This window comes from Homo sapiens, chromosome 11, assembly GCF_000001405.40.
Source record: "Homo sapiens chromosome 11, GRCh38.p14 Primary Assembly".
Lineage (NCBI taxonomy): Eukaryota > Metazoa > Chordata > Mammalia > Primates > Hominidae > Homo > Homo sapiens.
The window spans coordinates 21,804,947-21,821,956 of record NC_000011.10 but is presented as its reverse complement, the minus strand read 5'-3'; the positions used below and the strand labels follow the sequence as shown (position 1 = coordinate 21,821,956).

Here is a 17,010-nt window from a genome sequence, read left to right as displayed (position 1 = left end):
TTGCTCTGTCACCCAAGCTGGAGTGCAGTGGCATGATCTCAGGTCACTCCTACCTCAGCCTCCTGAGTTGCTGGGATTACAGGTGTGCACCACTGTGCCTGGCTAATTTTTGTATTTTTAGTAGAGACAGGGTTTCACCATGTTGGTCAGGCTGGTCTCGAACTCCTGACCTCGTGATCCACCTGCCTCGGCCTCCCAAAGTGCTGGGATTACAAGAGAGAGCCACCACACCTGGCCTCTTTAGTATTTTTTGTAAGGTGGATTTGTGAGCAACAACTTCTTTCAGTGTTTCTTTATCTGGGGATGTTTTTATTTGCCTTAATTTTAAAACCTTGTTTTGCTTTTGCTTAATATAACATTCTTGCTTAAAAGTGTATTTTTCAGCACTTTGAATATGTCACCCCAGTGCCTTCTGGTATCTGTTATTTCTGATGAGAAATTAACTATAAATACTATCGGGGTTTCTTTTTATCTGATATGTTATTTTTTCTCTTGGTACTCTCAAGATTTTTTCTCTCTTCCTCTCGATATTTTTACTGAAAAGTGTCTAGATTGAATCTCTTTTTGAGATGGGATCCTGCTCTTTCACCCTGCTCAGGCTGGAGTACAGTGGTATAATCGTAGGTGACTGTAATCCTGAACCCCTGGGCTCAAGTGATCCTCCCTCCTCAGCCTCCAGAGTAGCTAGGACCACAAACATGTACCTGTGTCTGGCTAATTTTTTTAATGTTTTATTTTTTATACAGGTGGGTTTTTGTTATGTTGCCCAGGCTGGTCTCTAACTCCTGGCCTCAAGCAATCCTCCTGTCCCTGCCTCCCAAAGTGGTGGGATTACAGAAATGAGCCACCATGCCTGACCCAATCCTTTTGGCTTATTTTAGGTAAAGTTTCTTGAACTTCTTTGATGTTAGCTTTATAATTTCATCAAACTTGGGACATTTTAAGGTATTATTTCTTTGAATATTTATTTTGTTCTTTTCTCCCTCTCTTTTTCTAGTATTTCAATTATACATAGGTTTTTTCTGCTTAATATTTGCCTATATTTCTTTGGGATTATATTCATTTTTCTCACATCTTTTTTTCTCCCTCTTTTCTGAGGATAACATAATCTCTATTAAACTATTCAAATCTATTGTTGGGACCCTCCAGTGAGTTTCTCTTTTATGATTTTACTTTTCAAATATAGAATTTTTATTCAGACCTTCTATGACATTTATCACTTTACATTCTATGTTTGGAATTTTTGTCTTTTCTTGTGTAATTATGGTTTACTTTTATAACTTTATTTCTTTGAGCATGATTATAATGGCTTCTTGGAAGTTTCTGTCTGCTAAGTTTTACATCTGACCCCTCTGACAGGCAGTTTCTATTGCCTGTTCATTTATCATCATAATTTTTATTTAATATGCCCATTTTAGATAATGTATTTTGCTAACTTCCTACTGACCACATCCAGGGCTTATTGTTATTGGCTTATCTATTTGTTTAGTTCTTTGGTTAGGCTATTTGGATAAAGCCTATTATCTCCCACAATGTGTAGACTTTATCTTCACTCCTCAAAAAGTAGAGTGTGGGGCATGTGTCTAGTGTTTGTGAGATTACAGTGGTGTTAGCAGGGTTCTTGTTACCTCTATTTTTGATCTCTTTTTTAATCTGTGTGCTTCTGTTGGTATAACACTCAGCTATTAGGCTAACTAATTACTGGCTTATTGCTCTAATTTTTTCAGGACTGTGTGGAAAAGGAGTGTTCTTGACCTCCCAGCTGCAGAAAGTTTGATTTTAGCCTCTCCAACATGAAGCTTGGAAAGATAAGGAAATATGGCAAATCGCCTCTCCCAGGGAAATGCTATAGTCCTTAAATGAAATGCAGGTGTTGGGGACAGAAGGAGCCCTGTTTTTTGGCCTCATCTACCTGGACTGAAATTTACACCATGGTGAATTAAGATAGGAAGAGTGAGTCGTAACTCAAGTGCCACAGAATTCTGATGAAATTCAACAGATTTTCTTGAATAAATGTTTATCCATTTGTTTTACGTCCTTATGAAAATTTCCAAAGATTAACTAGTTGGATGTTTTACATTATAGTTGGTTCACTGCAGAGAAATTCATGTGGGTCTTCACCATTCTAGAAGTTGTCATCTAGCTTGTGTCTGTCCTTTTGATAAACGGTCATTTTGCTTAAATTAGCTAGAATTGGTTTCTATTATAATAATTGCAGCTAACTGTAATACTTTCAGTCATGCCCCCTACCACCTGCACAAAAGGCTTACACAGAAACACAGAAAACTGCCAAATTAAGACCTATCATTACTTTATGTATAAAATATTTTTGTTGAAATATGTGACCTTTGCTTAAAAGTTATAAATTCTCTTTAATATTGGCAATTGAGTATTTTTTGTTTCAGCAAACTTTTTTTTTTTTTTTTTTTTTTGAGATGGAGTCTTGCTCTGTCGCCCAGGCTGGAGTGCAGTGGCGCGATCTTGGCTCACTGCAAGCTCCACCTCCTGGGTTCAAGCAATTCTGCCTCAACCTCACAAGTAGCTGGGATTATAGGTGCCCACTGCCATGCCTGGCTAATTTTTTTGTATGTTTAGTAGAAATGGGATTTCACCATGTTGACCAGGCTGGTCTCAAACTCCTAACCTCAGGTGATCCACCTGCCTCACCCTCCAAAAGTGCTGGGATTACAGGCATGAGCCACTATGCCTGGCCCGGTTCAGCAAACTTCTAAAAAGACAAAAGTGAACTTCAAGATATAGTTTCTTTCCACTGATGCAGATGTCATATAAATATAAGATGGAATAATTCTGTATATAAGATACATATTCTGACTTTTTTCGGCTAATATATTGTGAATGTTTTATAATTCAATAGTCACTAATGTAAAATTTTTAACTTCAGATTCCTAAATGCACTTGGGAAATCATGAACATTTTCGCATTTTGTTCTTATCTCTGGACATGATTTTAGGTAAGTCCATGTACATTTTAGAAGAGGAGAATGCCCATAATGTTTATCCTATTTTTACAATGGTCTGTGACTCTCAAATTTCTAAGAATCATAATGCACAGTGACAGTGACCATTAAAATAACTGAATAGCATTTCAGTTATTGATATATGGCAATTTATTAACCATTTCTGTATACAGGAACTAGATCGGTTCTAATTTTTACTCTTATGACTAATGTTGTCATGAGTAACCATTCTTTAGCTAGATAGTTGAACAAATCCTTCTTAAAACTAATTTCTATGATTGAAATTGCCTACACAAAGGATATGCACATTTTAAGGCTTTTGGTATGTATTGCTAAATTATCCTCTAGAACGGGTGTATTAGCTCTGTTACCAGAAAATCCTACAAATTGCCTAATTTTATAGACTAAAAATGGCCTATGGTGTCTGTGGTCATAAACTAGTGAAAAAACTGACCATCATAATTAAACATATTGAGTTATGTTTCTCTCTTACTATAGATATATGATGCATAAACTTCTGTAGTTGCACTTCTGCACCTTTAGTACTAGTAAAAAGCCTAGCTCCAATTGCAAAAAAAAAAAAAAAAAAAAAGCCTCTTAATAATGGCAGCCAGCCACATTCATTCCATTGCGTACCTGCTGTGGATCCATGCAGAGTGGTCTGGCCTCATCATCCTTAGAATTTTCCATGGCATACTCTGTGAGGCAGCTATCTCTCAGCTACACCACAGAATACATGCATTTACAACTTTGGTAGACATCCCCTGGCTTCCACCTGCTGCTGGGATACAAACACTTCTATACCATCTCAGATCCTCTCCTGTGACAGAAATAATGTCAGATAAATGGAAAGTCAAGATTGGGATTTGGCTACCTGCTTGTGTGATATGTTGATATCACTGGGAAACATTTGTAAGCCTCCAAAACTATTTTTTTGGTCCAAGATACAAAATCTTTTCCCATGCAATACTCATCTTGAAGAATTGTAAGGAACCAAGTTTATGATTTATAGTTATTCATATTTGAAGTGATTTGTGGTTTCCCTTCTGTGTGGGGCTGGACACAAAATGAAGCCTTCTGATGACACTGCACATTGCAGTTTCTGGACTTGAATATTTTCAGTTTATGGGTTTTCATTTCTGCATTTGAGTGCATCGGTATTGCTGTTGAGAAAGTTTTGAAAATAGATTTTACTTATTTTTATCTCTTTCTCTTTTACTCTCACACTTGCAACTACTTTCTGGCGTTCACAGGCATTCCATCATATGTGACTTACGGCATTTATTTGGTAACTCTGAATGATATCCCTATTCAATAAATGTTACTTGGATAACTGGCTAGACATATGCAGAAGATTCAAAATAGACCCCTTTCACTATACACAAAAATCAACTCAAAATGAATTAAAGACTTAACTGTAAAACCTAAAACTATAAAGACTAGAAAAAAAATTCTAGGAAATACCATTCTGAACACTGGCCCAGGCAAAGGCTTCATGACAAAACTCTGAAAGCAACTGCAACAAAAACAAAAATTGACAAATGGGACCTAGTTAAACTAAAGAGCTCTGCATAATAAAAGAAACTAGCAACAGAGTAAACAAACAACTTATAGAATCGGAGAAAATATTTGCAAACTATGAATTCGACAAAGGTCTAATATCCAGAAACTATAGCAAACTCAAACAAATCAACAAGAAAAAAAAATTTAAAAAATGGTCAAAGGACGTGAACAGACACTTCTCCAAAGAAGACATATATGTAGCCAACAAACATATGAAAAAATGCTCAATATCACTGATCATCAGAGACATGTGAATCAAAATCATAACAAGATACCATCCCATACCAGTCAGAATGGCTATTATTAAAAAGTCAAAAAATAACAGATTGTGGTGAGATTGTGGATAAAAGTGATACCCGTGTCCATTACACTGCTGGGGGGAATTTAAGTTAGTTCAGCAATTGTAAAAGGCAGTGTGGCTATTCCTCAAAAAACTTAAAAAATACTCACCATTCAACCCAACAATTCTATTATTGGGTATATACCCAAAAGAATATAAATCATTTTGCCATAAAGACACATGCATGTGTATATACATCACAGTACTATTCACAATAGCAAAGACATGGAATTAACATAGTTGCCCATTGATGTCAGACTGGAGAAAGAAAAGGTGGTATCTGTTTATCATAGAATACTATGCGCTATAAAAAATGAGATAATGGCTTTTACAACAGCCTAGATGGAGCTGGAGGCCATAATCCTAAGTGAATTAATGCAAGAACAGAGAACCAAATACCATGTGTTCTCTCTTATAAGTGGAAGCAAAACACTGAATACACATGGACACAAAGAAGGGAACAAGAGACACTGAGACCTGTTTGAAGGTGGAGGATTTGAGGAGGGTGAGGATTGAAAAGACTACTTATTAGGTATTATGCTGATTACCTAGGTGACACTAAATCCCCATGACACACAATTTACCCATGTAACCAACCTGCACATATACCCCTTAAACCTAAAATAAAAATTAGAATGAAAAATAAATTAATTGGAGACATATTTTATAGTATTTCAATGGAATAAGCTGGACTACAACAAATACATGTATACTACAAGATAAAGAATCTCTGTTTTCCTGTCTTGAAAGACAAATAAAACACTGTGAATATCTGACGTCTGAATCCAAAAGTTGGGGATGTAAAGCAAAGTTTAAATTTCTATTGTTTAGGACTAAATATGAAATAAAATTGCTTAAAATCCTCCTGCATGAGAACATTCAAATGTTTATTCACAGTATTTTCATTATTATCCTGACCCATAAATTGCTAGATGAGGCAAATTTATTCTGAAAATTGACATAAATTAAATTTCATTTTGTGTCTCTTTTACAGACATTTGTGAAATTTAATTAAATCAGTTGAAGAAGAGTAAAGACTTCCAAAGACTCAACTGTCAATAGGGCATTGTGTTTGAGAGCACAGCCTCTGGAATGGTGCAGAACTGGATTTAAACCTCAATTCTGCCCAAATCTACCTCATATCTACATTATATTAGTTACATTATCTTTCTGAGTCTATTTATTGATATATTAAAGAGGGCATATCAACATGAACCTTATAAATTGTTATAAAAATTGAATAAGATAATTATTTAAAGTGTTTAACATGATCCCTGGCACATAAGTGGCTCTCCTTACGTGGAAATCAACATCTTGGCACACAGTGGGTGCTCAGTGAAGACTTGTTTAATAATAGAATAGAATATCTTCCTAAAGAATGCAGGATTAAGAACAAATTTTCAAGTTTGTGTTTAAACATTGTGCAGAATATGAGAAAAAGGTATCAAAAGGACATTTTTTCCCACTTAGTGCTGTCCGTTGCTGCAGTCTCATGCATTGAGAACTTACAAATTCCTGAAAGATTTTTCAGTGGCACTATTGCTAATCTTTTGCTAGTTTCCTACTTCCTGTGGTAGGAAGGACTCTGCAATAACCTGAGATCACATAACAACTTGGCTGCTGCTGCCTCATATTTTAATTGCTTTTATCTTGCATCTCTGTATCTGAAGAAAATCAATATAAAAATCTATTGACATTCATATTCATATGTATTTTTAGAAATTTTAAAACACTTCACCCACATTGTTTCATAGAATACTGGTAACGGCCTTGCAAAGTCTCCCATTCATAGATAAAGAAGTTGAGCATAAAGTTGTGACATGGTTGAATGTCTACAGGAATAAGCAGAGCCTGTCTCCTAACTCTTGATTCCCTGCCTGTCACCTCCAGTTTAGCCATGACACTCCTCATGCTTACCCATAAAGCAATAGTTACTTCTGGTGTGTTTCCCTGGAGGGCTTTCTCTGCACAATAGTCAAATGTCCAATCATAATCATTCCTTTTCAGATTAAAGCTCTGATCTCTCTGGGAGATCAAAAGATAGATGTCCTCGAGAGAACCAGCTTTAAAACTTTAACTTTCCTTGTGATGTTAATATGACTGAAGAGTCTCAGGGAAAATTGCAGGTGAAACAAATACATGAGCATGAGAAGCCAGGGCTTATTAGAAGGCTTGAAATTCAGCCACTGTTTCAATTACAAATTTGGCCCAGAGTCATAATTCCCCCTTCTTTGTGCATATTTTCATAAAACTCTATGTAAGCTAAAGGCTAAAAAGATATGTTAATATTTAATGCTTTTCAATTTTGGACCAAACTGTTAACCCCTGCTGTCAGGTTCCAACCCAAGCTGGGGTTCAACTGGAGGGGTTGGAAGGTGGCGGGTAGCTGAAAGAACACTTGAGGGACCATAGGTAGATAGATATGGCTTTACTCTCTCTCTCTCCATCAGCTTTTGTCTCGGCCACCATCTTCAGCCCCAGCCCCTCTCAGTGCTGGCTCCATGGCTTCTGCCACCCCCATGCCTGCAGCTGCACTCCCTGGTGTGCTCGCCACTTCCTGGCTCCCCATTGTCCACTTGCAAGGCAGTCAGGAGCTCTGTCTCTTAGAGTCAGCAGCGCAGTTCAGTTATGTTACTTACAGACAATAGTGGCTCAGAGCCAGGTGATAAGCTCACCCATAACATGGTTACATAACTGTGGTTATATAATGCATGAGACTGTGTGCCTGCACTCCAATCCTGCTGTGTCATCTTGCATCAGATGTTTACCTCAACCTATTCTTGACTGAAGTACAGCCATTTTCCTCACACTTTATCTGCTAGGCCAAGGGAGGTCTTCTAGTAGGGAGATGCACTCACGGGGCAGAACCCCCAGGCCAGTCCCCCAAGGAATGGTCAATCATGGAGGCCATGTATTAAATACCCAAGAAGTGACTTATAAATCATACCGTAGACTCTCCCATCAGGGGGCTACAATAGCCAGCCATCTGCAGTGGGGGGCTTGGAGGGTCCATGGCCAAAGCCAGGTTTTTGTTCCCCTTCCTTTAGGGGTGTTGGGGCAGACAACGACAGGTTCCATTCATCCCCATACCTGGTTGGAGGAGGTCATCCTTCCTCCCTTAGGTCTTGCCACATGTCTTGGCCCCAAATGGGCCAGTGACCAACTAGCCAATTCTGTATCTTCCAGGTATTTAACCACAAGGTTAAGCCTCAAAAAACTGCCCAACTATTGGTGCAGATTACCATAGGTGTCACCTCCTTGGTGATCACCATCCACACTGCTCTGAGTTCAGCCCATTGGCTACTTTGTTCACACCCAGTATCAAACCATATGCTATCAATATAAGGCTGGACCACAACAGTGGTCCAGGTAGAAGTAGTACCCTGGCTGGACCCATCCATATATCATGCCCCATCATGGATGGGGGCGGGGAGTGGCCCTCTTTAAACAGTTATGGCTCAGGGTCTAAGGGTGCCTCAGGCTGACCCATGGCCTTATCTTGAATCAGGACTACAGGTCCCAAGACTTCTTGTAATTCTATTAAGAGTCTCATACTCAGAGTACTCCTCTGTTCTAAGTAGGCACCCCAATTTGCTAAAGTGGATGACTGTGCCATCCCATTCCTGGGGGTTGTTACCCATGAACATACCCACCTCGCTATTGGGTAAGTTGTCTACATGATGACCATAGCCTGTCCCATTACACTCTCATGAGCCTGAAGGGCAGCATATGAAGCTGCTAACTGCTTTTCTATTAATGTGTACTGGAGCTCAGCTCCCTTTCCAAGTTGGGATTAAAAGCCTACTTCTGTTCTAAAGTGCTCCATGTACTGCTATGGGCCCCATCCAAACCCACCTGTTGTCACATGCACATCAAGTTCAAATGGGTGCTCCTGGTCAATGATTTGTAGGGTCTGTGCTTGCTGAATAGCCCCTTTGGATGCCAGAAATGTTGTCTCAGCTTCATTGTCCCAAGTAGCCCCCTTTTCTGTCAACCGATACAACGGTTTTATTATTTGAGCCAAATAGGGCACAAACACCCGGCAATACCCCAGGAGGCCCACAGAGGTCTGCAGCTGCCCAACTGTGGTGGGCCAGGGATATGACTCTTAAGAATTTGGCAGGCAATCCAGGTCCTTGGACCCTGGATTTATGGTTGCCCAACCACGTGTGGGCACAAGAGGGGTGTTGTCACAAGAGGGGTGTTGCTGCTTCTAACTCTGCAAGAGAATCAGACATTAACATAATATCATCAACATAATGGAACAGGTGGACCTCCTTTGGACATTTCCAGGTGGCTAAATCTGTGGCAACGAGACCATGGCATATGGTGGGTCTATGCACATAGTCCTGCAGCAACATTGTAAAAGTTCATTGTCGCCCTTCCCATGTGAATGCAAACTGTTCCTTGCTCTCTAGAGCAATGTCAATTGAGAACAATGCATAAGTCAAGTCCACCACATAGCGGTACTGTCCCTATTACATTGCCAAGTAATCCATCAAACCCATGATAGATGGCATAGCTGCCAAGTAGTGCAAAATATCCATTCCCGGCGGGCGCGGTGACTCACGCCTGTAATCCCAGCACTTTGGGAGGCCGAGGCGGGCGGATCACGAGGTCAGGAGATCAAGACCATCCTGACCAACACGGTGAAACGCCGTCTCTACTAAAAATACAAAAAGTTAGCCGGGCGCGGTGGCGGGCGCCTGTAGTCCCAGCTACTCCGGAGGCTGAGGCAGGAGAATGGCGCGAACCCGGGAGGCGGAGCTTGCAGTGAGCCGGGATTGCGCCACTGCACTCCAGCCTGGGCGATAGAGCGAGACTCCGTCTCAAAAAATAAAAAATAAAAATTAATAATAATAATTATAATTCCACTCCCAAAATGTAATTCAGGTATGGGAGACACAAACACAGTGTATAAGTGGGGAGCCAAGCAATTGATGCCAACGTGCAAAGATACAGGTTACACTCACTGACCAGCCTTCATACCCATATATGTATGCAGCCTTGCCCGGAAACTTATCCCAGTTCCCATAGGCAAGGCTATAATCTGTGCTAGTATCTACCAGTGCCAGCACCCACTGTACCCTGGTAGGGGACCAGTGGATTGCCAAATTCATATGTGGCCTCTGGTCATCCAGTGTCCCACCAAGCTGGGCACCTCAGCCAATTCCCTAATCAAACACAAACGGCTGTATTCCTCCACCCATCTGCAAGTAATCCTTTAGCTGGAGCACCCAGGCAGGACTGGGTTGAGCAGCATCATCCTGCCCCATCGTGGGCATTTACTGGAATTGCTGCTCCGGGGACCATTGCCTCCACAAAGTTAACAGCACTTCCCAGGTGGGTAGGGGTTTCCCTGAATGCTGCCAACATTGTTTGCCTATGCAACTCAGCGGGGGGTGTAGACACTATAAGAAGGCCTACCTTTGGGTCTCAAGTAGCTGTTCATGCTCTATTTTCTGGTGGACCAAGGGGCAAGCCCACAGAGGGGGTTTTTCCTCCTTAGTATCAGACTAAGTGGGAGTTTCCTACCTGCACTGCATCCTGCAGGGACTGAGCATGCACTTCCCTTAGCACAGCAAAAATGCCCACCTAACTTTGCCGGCAAAGACTCACTCTTTCTTGGTGCACTGTGCTTCCAGATGCTTCAGTGCTTTCTCCATGCTCATGGGGGACTCATCCACCACCGCCCATGTTTCCACCGGGGCCCATCCAAGGAGCACGGACACATAGCCGACCAGGGATTATTGGAGACTGAGGGCTCACTCACCTCAGAATGCTGCTTAGTATGCCAAGTGTCAGGTTCCCACCCAAGCTGGGGTCCAAGGGGAGCTGGTGGATAGGTGGCAGGTAGTTGAAAGAACACTCAAGGGACTGTAGGTAGACGGGATATTGCTTTCTTCTTTCTCTCTCCATAAGCCTTTTTCTCAACCTCCTGCTCTGACTGCAGCCCCTCAGCACCGGCTCTGTGCCTCCTGCCCACCCCCATGCCTGCAGCTGCACTCCTTGGTGCACTGGCCTCTTCTTGGCTCCCCTCTGTCCACCTGCAAGGCGGCCGGTGGCTCTCTTTCTCTAAGTCAGCAGTGCAATTCAGTTATGTGACTCACGGACAATAATGGCTCAGAGCCAGGTGATGAGCCCACCCATAACATGGTTACGTAACTGTGGTTATATAATGTATGGGATTCTGTGCCTGCACTCCCATCCTGCTGTGTCATGCTGCACCGGATGTTTACCTCAGCCTATTCTTGACTGAAGCACAGCCATTTTCCTTATACCTGCTTTTCTCCCTTATTTAATGTTCACAACACATTCACAAGGTAGCATCATCTTAAGGGAGCAGAGAGAAAACGGGGTTAACTAACTTGTCCAAAGTCATATGCCTTTTAAATATCGGAGTCAGGATTAGAATCTAGATTGGCCTAAATATGAAACTCATGATTTGTCTAAGAACATTAAATTGCTATTGTGTTCTTCCTGGGACTTCTTAGAATCTGAAAAAAAATAGAATATTGATCACTATAAGAGCTCTTTGCCATGAATCTTAGCAGTGTTACTTGACTAATATTAAGTCATATTTTGGACTGTCCCTTTCTTGCCTCCAAAATGAATAGATAATGCCTCTTCTCTACCCCCATAATGTATGCAGAGATGGAAGTGAAGATGCACAAAGTCTCGCTCTTCTGCTCTCATTTGACTCTCATTGTCAATCAACTTCAAAGCATGGTTCTTCGTATTAAAATATCAAACATATTCATATCCTAAAATATAAATTTGGAGAAACAGTTTCTCAATTGATATTATATTGTATGACCACTTCAAAACAGATTTTCTATCAAAACTAACCAAAAAACAAACTAACAACAATTAAATAAAAACCCATGGAAACCACAAACATTTCCCAAAGGTTAGATATTTAAAAGCTTTGAAGGCACCTCCTTGTTGAGAGAACAGAGCTCTGATTCCTAGTTCTGTGCTATGTAACCTAAACTCCCTTTCTTAGCTAATTCTCTATTCACTCAAATCCAGCAAAGAACAAATAATTTATTTATTTTTAATATTTTATATACATTCTTCATCACCTTCATGGTTTTTTTTCTCTCTCTTGCTTAGAATGTCCTTATTCCATAAAAACACTGACCCTTCCTCCATAAAGACAAATCCAGCTCATCTTTACCAGGAAGTAAGACCACCTGCATCATATAGCTTAATGCTGAGGATTGAAAGCTGAGCATACCTGTGTCAACAAGACTTAACTATTCCAAGAAAATGTTAAGCCAATAAACAACTTAGCTGATTGCTTCATGATATTCCTGCATATCAGTGTATCTGAATAAGTAGTGTGCTCATCTGAGCAAATGTTTCTCATAGGATAATGGTTGCTCAACTGGGCAAATAGCTTGCTTCTCAGACAAACAATTTACTTATTAAGATTTGCTTCACTGTGCTGTGTGCACCAATACTGAACAATTACATTGTTTCATTTTTCAGTTCAATTTTGGTACCTACCCTAAAAGACTTGATTTAAATTACTGGAGGTTAGATCCCAAACTTTATAAATATCTTTTGACTGATCTCTCCTGGTAAGAGACCACTGGGTCTCTGCCAAAGTGCTGTATATTACTTTACTGGGTTTCACACTGCTTTCTTTATTGAAGACTGTTATCATGCTGGGGTTTTTTTGTTTGTTTTTTGTTTGTTTGTTTGTTTGTTTGTTTTTTGTCTATAGTCAGCAATGTTGTATTTTATTATTCAGAATTTTTTCAGAGGCAAGCAATAGAAACCCCAACTGAAACTTACTTAAAAGAAAAAATGGCTTTTTTTTTTCTCATGTAACTGAATGACCACAGAAAAACATAGAGTCAGGGTTTCTAAAGGGTATAAATGTTGTCACCAGAATTCAGCTCCGATCTCCCAAATCTTATCTCCAAATGGCTTCTTCTCAGGGAAGAATGCTTATTGTAGAACATGTTTGCATTTGGTTCCAGACTGAAATCCTCCCTAAGTCTGAGTTACAGAAGCAGACTTTGAGACAAAAATTCAAGTCCAAGTACTTTACTTTAGAGGTACAGGAAATGCCAGTGGAATGTAAGACAGGGAAAATTTTTTTAAGAAGCCAATAATGTACATTATAACATCAACTATCAATGTGGGCAACTAAAGCTTGACTTTGTAGGGTGATTTGGTGCAACAGATATCCCAAATTTGTACCACCTTAAACCAGGAAGATTGAATATTTGTACTCCAACTACCATCGATTATTGTTTATAGCAAGCATATTCAGACTGATGTACCTGAGGTTAGAGCAGACATATATTACTTTAGAGAAAGTCTTTCAGAGGCAACCATATGCAAACATCTGTAACTGGAAGTTGCCAGACATACAGTAAAATCAGAAGGGCTAGAGAATATTGACAATGCACCTTAAATAACTACTATATGCATACCCCAAGTCTTCTGCATGTACAAAAGTAAAATCATTTTCTTAGGACTAGCTTAAGTCATTTGCCTGCAAGAACTGATCATTGCAAAAACTAGGGAGAAAGTGATATCAGTAATAAATGTCAGAGTAACAACCTCCAAACATCTCATCTTCAAAAATCCATGAGAACACTGGCAGAAATTTTCAGTCTTTTTCAGAACTCTGATGATTAACCAAAAGTTTGCAGATATCTAGGGAGTGTTTATTCAAGGAAAATTCTCAATGTTGATAAGAACAGTGAGATTTGGGGGGTTTTAACTATCGCTATTTTAATTCTTCTCATCTGAGCTCCACAGCAACATAGAAATCCAACCACCTACAATCATGGAGAAACCCAGCAGCCTGGAAGCCACTGGAAAGAAAAGGATGAGGTTAAATCTACTTCAAGGCCCTCCAGATAGTTTTTATTATTTTACATGTTAAACATAAAGGTAAACACAGGGTTAGCACATAACACAGTGATTCCATTCATAGTATGTACACCAGATAATTGAAATTATATATTACTACAAAAACTTGTACATGAATGTTTCCACCTTTGGGGCCCAAAGGTAGAAACAACTCAAAAGTCTGCCAAATGGTAAGCAGATGAACAAAATGTGGTACATTATTTAGCCATAAAAATAAATGAAGTACTGACACATAGTGCAACATGAATAAACATTGGAAAAAGTATACCAAGTAAAAGAAGATAGACATAAAAGGGTACATATTGTATGATTCCATTTGTATGAAATGTCCAGACAGGAAAATACAAAGAGATGGACAGTCAATTAGTGATTGCCAAAGGCTGATGGTGATTAGGAATGAGGAATGACTGCTAATAGGTACAAAGTTTCTTTTGCGGGCAATAACATTCTTCTGAAAATTAGATATTGATGATAGTAGCACAACTATGTATCTAGGCCGAAGACCAATGAACTGTGTACTTCAAAAGTTTTATGCTGTTTGTATTATATATTCATTTTTACAGAAAAAACATCCTGTTTTATCAGGCCTGGGTTAAATATTCACTCCTGTGGCATGAGAGAGGTTTCAACATATGCTGAAACTCAGTGGTGACAAAGGAAATTAAAGGTGCTGTTAGCAGAAAGAGGAGCAATGGGTGCCACCCTAGCAAAAATAACTTTCCTTGACATACATTTTCCATAATTCAAACCTATTTTTCAAACTATAAGAAAGTTCTCTCCTATTCTCAGTTCCATATTTAGAACTTTATTTGTACACCCATTGATATAGTTTAGCTCTGTGTCCCCACCAAAATCTCACCTTGAATTGTAATAATCCCCACATGTCAAGGGTGGGACTAGGTGGAGATAACTGAATCACAGGGACAGTTTTCCCCATGATGTTCTTGAAATAATGAGTGAGTTCTCACAAGAGCTAGTGGTTTTATAAGGGGCTTCCCCCTTCACTCAGCACTCATTCTCTCCCCTGTTGCCCCGTGAAGTGGTGCCTTCCACCAAGATTGTAAGTTTCCTGGGGCCTCCCCAGCCATGTGGAACTCTGAGTCAATTAAATTTCCTTCCTTTATAAATTTCCCAATCTGGGGTATTTCTTCATAGCTTCATGAGAACAGACTAGTACACCCATCAAACTCTCTTTGCCCTATACCTTTTATTTATGGTTGTTTATATGTGTGTTTTTTATCCTTTTTATGCAATGGATAAAAATTTCATTTTATAAAATGATGCAAAGAAACTAAGGTTTTTCTGCATGTGTGATACAATTTAATTTAATATATGGCAAAATTATTTATTTCATATAAGGTGAGAGAAATAATTTTACTTCAGGGCAATATCTACATTCTGGATGTAGGACAGGGCTGACATATCATTCAAAAGTGTTTAGATGATAGAAACCACCAGCCTTTGATGTCCTTACCACATTGACACCTGTTAAGATCCGTGGTAGTCTAAGATTTCTTTGTATTCTTGGGCATTGGATCACACCTGTTCCTCCTGACATTCTTTTGTATCTGACAAATTATTTCAAGGCTCCTTCAGGGGGCTCTCTCCATCATTTCTGGGTGGGTACCATAAATACTTTTTGTTGTTGTTGTTTTGCTACTCCTATGCCTTGTTGAAGGTTGTGACACTCTGAATCTTTCTAAGGCTTCCTCAGCCTAAGCCATTCACATTTATTTTCATTTATACTCAATTCTTTGAGAGAGCTCTATGTCACTGTTGCCAATTCTACTGGCAGTAAAACTGAGAGGAAGTTCATTATAGGTGAAAATTTTAGTGGATGAATGAAGTGAGGACACCTGTATTACTTATCAAAAATATTTTGCAGAGATTCCTTTATTTTCCTATGTTCTAGGTGAATTTGCTGGATAACTGATAAGCCACCGTAGTCACCTAGCACTGGTAAATACAGAGAACTCAGGTTGTATATTACCTGAGTACCTTTGACAATTGGCTGACTTTCTGAGTTGCTAGTGTGGCTGAGCCAGGGGAGGGAACAGATACAAACAGTTTTCTTTGTTGTTATTTTTGCTTCATGACAGCTTGAGAATGTTTTAAAGTTAATAAAGTCCTATTTTAGATTTAATCATTACAGAGAAAAGTGTTTCTCAATATTTACAAAGCTTGATAAGATTCTAGCCATATGCACTACGTGTTTTCTATTTAAAGATTTTTTTCATATGTGAAAATTATAGACAAATTCTAAAGGTCTCAACCACTTTTAGTGAATTCTAAATGTGAAGACCAGACACACAATTTATTATGCATGTAAACTTAGCCAAGCATCTTACCATTTCTAAAACTCTTTTTATTTTTATTTTTTATATTTATTTCTTTTTGAGACAGAGTCTTGCTTTGCCCAGGCTGGAGGGCAGCAGCAGTGATGCGATCACAGCTCACTGCAGCCTTGATCTCCTGGGCTCATGTGATTAAACTCCTGAGTTGCTGGGACCACAGGTGTGCTCCACCATGCCAGGCTATACTTTTTTGTTTGCTTTAGAGCAGGGGTTTTCACTATGTTGCCCAGGCTGGTCTCGAACTCCTAGACTCAAGTGATCCTCCTGCCTTAGCCTCCCAAAGTGTTAGAATTTTTAGAATTTATAGCCACAGCATCCACCCCTAAACCTCTTTTAAATTGATTGTCAAGTGTAAATAATAATGATGTTTCATCTTGTAGTTAAAGATTATAAATTACATATTGTTCATAAATTAGCACATTTTATTTATTTTTATATATATATATATATATATATATATATATATATATATAGTAAGACTTCAATGAATAGTAGTTATTATTTGAGTGAATGGGAGGATTTATTAAGAAGCATATTAGTACTTTCTTTTCTTGATGTATGTTTGCTTTGTTTTATTGGGTTTCAGCAACAGTATATAATTAATCTTCATATATCCCCATCTAGTCATTCAAAGAGAATCTAGGCTATTTTTATAACATGTGACTTAAGTAACAAGGGTAAAACAATAGAGCTTTAAAGCTGAAAAGTATTATTTTGGAGACTGATATGGTTTGGCTGTGTCTCCACCCAAATCTCAACTTGAATTGTATCTCCCAAAATTCCCATGTGTTCAGGGAGGGACCCAAGGATAGGTAATTGAACCAAGGGGGCTATTCTTTCTTGTGCTATTCTCATAATAGTAAATAAGTCTCATGAGATCT

General features: G+C 39.1%; 1 long non-coding RNA gene across 3 annotated transcripts in view, besides 1 other annotated feature; it reads right to left on the bottom strand.

The window, feature by feature from the left end:
* Positions 1-17,010, bottom strand: part of LOC102723370 (uncharacterized) — a 366,694-nt gene that overhangs the window by 297,943 nt on the left and 51,741 nt on the right. The window lies entirely within an intron of this gene.
* Positions 10,705-11,904: an enhancer, noted in NCBI's record as "MED14-independent group 3 enhancer chr11:21831599-21832798 (GRCh37/hg19 assembly coordinates)". NCBI's record gives its function as "activates an origin of replication core promoter dependent on BRD2, BRD4, P300/CBP and CDK7 cofactors, and independent of MED14, by STARR-seq in HCT116 cells {active_cell/tissue: HCT116}" and the evidence as "EXISTENCE:reporter gene assay evidence [ECO:0000049][PMID:35650434]".